Below are 4139 nucleotides of genomic sequence, written 5' to 3'. Positions count from 1 at the left end.
CATTGGAAGGTGGAGTCTATGTCTCTTCCCCTGGAATCCAGGCTCTGTGACCACTTCATCGGTAGAAAATGGTGGCAATGACACTGCATTTGTTTCTGGGACAAGGCCTTCAGAAATGGGAAGCTTGCCCTACTTGCCTCTCGGGGCAGTGCTCTTAGAACTCACCGTATTGTGAGGAAGCCAACAGCACATGAAGAGGCCAGGGTAGGGTTCTGGCTGATGAACCCAGCTGAGGTCAGAGGTGACAGCCAGTAACAACCACCAGAGAGCAGTGATGGCTTTGAGATGACTCCAGCCCCCACTGTTGGGTCACCCCTGCCTTTGAGCTTCCCCAGCCTATGTCATGTGAGCAGAGATCAGCTGTCTTCCCAGACTCTGCCCAAATTGCATATTCAGGAGCCAAATACATGATTGTTGTTGTTTTAGGCATCCTAGTTAAGGTGGATGGGTATGAAGTGGTAGATAACTGAAATACTTTTCTTCATGTTCCCTCCTTCTGGTGATTCAACAAATATTTTTTAGCATCCTGAATGAGTCAGCCACAATTCTAGATGCTATGAATAGAGTAGTGAAAAAACAGACAGGGATCTTCATGGAGCTTACGATCTGTGGGGGAGACAGACAAGTAAGAAAAACAAATAAAATAGATGGTTTGGAGGTGGTGAAACATGCTAAGAAGAAGAACAAAGGCAAAGAAGGGAATAGGAAGTTTATAAATAGGGTGGTCGGGGAAGGCCTTCCAAGCAGGGGGCACTGCATAAAGACTTGAAGGCAATGAGGAGCCAGCCAAGTGGATGCCTGGAGGAACAGCTTTCTTTTCTTTTCTTTTTTCTTTCTTTGTTTTTTTTTTTTTTTTTTTTTGAGACGGAGTCTTGCTCTGTCGCCCAGGCTGGAGTGCAGTGGTGTGATCTCGGCTCACTGCAAACTCCGCCTCCCGGGTTCACGCCATTCTCCTGCCTCAGCCTCCTGAGTAGCTGGGACTACAGGGCGGGCGCGGTGGCTCACGCCTGTAATCCCAGCACTTTGGGAGGCCGAGGCGGGTGGATCACAAGGTCAAGAGATTGAGACTATCCTGGCTAACACGGTTAAACCCCGTCTCTACTAAAAATACAAAAAATTAGCCGGGCATAGTGGTGGGAACAGCTTTCTAGACAGAGGGAAGAGCAAGTGCAAAGGGTCAGAGGCAGGAGTATGCTAGCAATATCCAGGGGGGCCGGATGGAGGGTGCAGGGCAGTCATAGGATGTGAGATTAGGATGGTGGTGGTGGGGTCAGACGGTGAAGGGCCCTGTGAGGATTTTCTGCCCTCATGAGAGGGTTTCAAGCAGAGGAGTAATGCATTTTAACAGGATCACTATGACTGCAGGGGGCTCAAAGATGGAAGCAGGGAGACTGCTGGGGAGGCCATTGCAATCATCCAGGTGAGAGATGATAAGGCAGGTGCCTTAAATCAGGATGGCAGCAATGAGGGTGGTGGAAAGTGGTCAGAATTCCAATATATTTTAAAGGGACAGCTACCAGGATTTGCTGAAGGATTAGATGTAAGTGGATGGAAGGGAAGGAGTTAAGGATGTCTCCAAGTGTTTGGCCTGAGCAGCTGGAAAGATGGATTTGCCATTCTCACTGAGATGAGGAAGACAGTGCAGATGGCTTTGTGCACGAAGGCAGAAACTTTGGGAGTTCCATTTCGGGCATGTTAAGTTTAAGATCCTGTGGTCACCAGCCTTCAATATGACCCCAGTGACCATAACCATTTTCTTTTTTTTTTTTTTGAGATAGAGTCTCACTCCATCACTCAGGCTGGGGTGCAGTGGTGTGATCATGGCTCACTGCAACCTTAACCTGCTGGGCTTAAGTGATCCTCCTCCTTAGCCTCCTGAGTAGCTGGGACTATAGGCATGCACCACCATATCCAGATACATTTAAAAAAATATTTTTCTGTAGAGATGCAGTCTCACCATGTTGCCCAGCCTTGTCTCAAACTCCTGGGCTCGAGTGATCTGACCACCTTGGCTTCCCAAAGTGTTGGGATTACAGGTGTGAGCCACTACAACTGGCCAGGCCCCACCTCTTGGTATTCACACCTGTGTGTAGTCCCCTCCCACACTGTACCAGAGTTGGTCAGTGTGACCAATAAAATGTGACAGAAGTGATGTTATGCCAGTATTTAGATTAGGTTGTAAAAGACTGTACCCCCTGCCTGTCTCATTCTCTGTCTCCCTTTCTTTCTTGGGTTATTTGCTCTGGGGGAAGCCAGCTGTGATATGATGAGCAGCCCTATGGAGAGGGTGTGTGGGAAGAACCTGAAGTCTCCAGCCAGCAGCCACATGAATACATCATCTTGGAAGCAGATCCTCCAGCCCCAGTCCAGCCTTCAGATGACTGCAGCCCTGGTCAACATCTCAACTGCAGTCTCATGAGAGACTCCAGACCAGAACCACCCTGCTGAGCCTCTTTTGGATTCTTGACCCTCAGAAACCCTGTGAGATCATAAATGCCAGTCGTTTTAAGCTGCTAAGTTTTGGGGTCATTTGTTAGCCAGCAAGATAACAAATACAGATCTGCATGAAACATACAAGCAGAAGGAAGTAGGCAGTCAGGTCTACAAGTCTGAAATTCAGGGAAGCAGTTCAGGCTGAAATATAAATTTGAGAGTTATTAACATATAGGTGATATTAAAAGCCATCAGGAGCAAAGGTTTCTCTTTTTATGGAAGCTTTCTCCACTTCCCTACTCCCTCTTCTGCGCTCTGATGTTGGCTTGCCTTTGCTGTGAGGTTGCACGGCGATGGCTTTGCTGTGCGCCCATCTGACCATTAGGTTCAGACATAACTGAGTCTTCTTTGGATCTTCTTCTAAACTTGGTACAAACTGGAAGTGCTTAATAAATGCTTTTGGGATGCTATGAATGCACAGGGGAGCTTAGAGGGTGAAGCGGACACTGTAAGTGTTATGACTCTATCCCTTTTTGCACGGTTGGGCTAACTTTCAACTGCCAGCTTTGGCCTCTCACAGCCTTGGTACCTCCAACCCCTGCATTGGGAGGCCCCAGAAAAGCCTAGAATGACCATCTCCCAGAAGCAGCCCTCAGCTGAAGATCATCATGAGTTGACATATAAACATCTCAGCTTACCCCTTATGTAGGTTTGGGAGTGGATGGTTCCAGATCCTGTGTTTTGCGTTGTTTCTCAGTTTCCTCACAGGATGCAGCCCTAGTGCCCACTTTGGCAGTGGGCTTAGAACAGCCCTTCCCTGGCTGCCTTCCCTTCTCTGGGTCATTTCCCTGCTCTCCTGCTGGGGCTCCCCCCATAGCCAGTACCTCTCAAATAAACAATTTGTGCTCAAATCCGCTCAGGAACTGCTTCTTAGGGAACCAAACCGTGATTATGGAGAGGCAGAGCGTGGATATGTGGAGAAGTAAAGCACCAGCTCAGGGCTCAGCATTGCACAGAGGGCATCTGGGGAGCTGAGCCCCTGGCGGTGTGACCTTGCCTGACCAGCAGAGAGGACACTGGGTCTTCCAAAGCTGGACCCAATTTTAGAGCGTTGCTGAGCCACACCTCTGATCTGGGAGCCCTGTGCTTGGTTTCATACTTTCACCTTGGCAAGGTCACTGTCTTCCTTGGAAGGGGAGAGCAGGTCCAAGGGTAGTGCCAGCTGCCCAAGCACACAGCCTGCAGCTGGCACCACCAGGAGGCATGACAAGCTTTCTGCACAGAAGGAGGCTGTTCCTAGGCAGATGGCACTTGGCTAACATGTTGGCGGTGTGACCGCATGGTTTCCAGTGCTGAGAGTGTTTGTGCCCCTCACAGGGGCTTCCCCTGAGGGGTTGCAGGAGGGAGTCAGACCGCATCTGGCTTCCGGAACACCCCAATTTTTACCAGCCTCACCCTCCACCTGGAGCCCCCTCAGCTCTGCCCTTAGTTCTCTCACTTTCATCCTAGTCCCTTTCTTTACCTCTTGGGGTGTGGCTGCTGTGTCCTGCGGGGCTCGGCTTGCACCTGACATATGAGACTCAGAGCTTGGTGGGCACTGGCCTGCTCGGTGTCTCCCTCCTTGTCCTTGTTCACCAGGGAATGCAGATTCCAGGGCAGCACCAGATTCACTGTGAAAGAGCTTGAGCCGGTGGCTCCCACTCACA

This window comes from Homo sapiens, chromosome 17 (assembly GCF_000001405.40).
Source record: "Homo sapiens chromosome 17, GRCh38.p14 Primary Assembly".
NCBI classification, from domain to species: domain Eukaryota; kingdom Metazoa; phylum Chordata; class Mammalia; order Primates; family Hominidae; genus Homo; species Homo sapiens.
The sequence above is the reverse complement of the archived record's forward strand: the minus strand, read 5'-3'. Positions refer to the sequence as shown.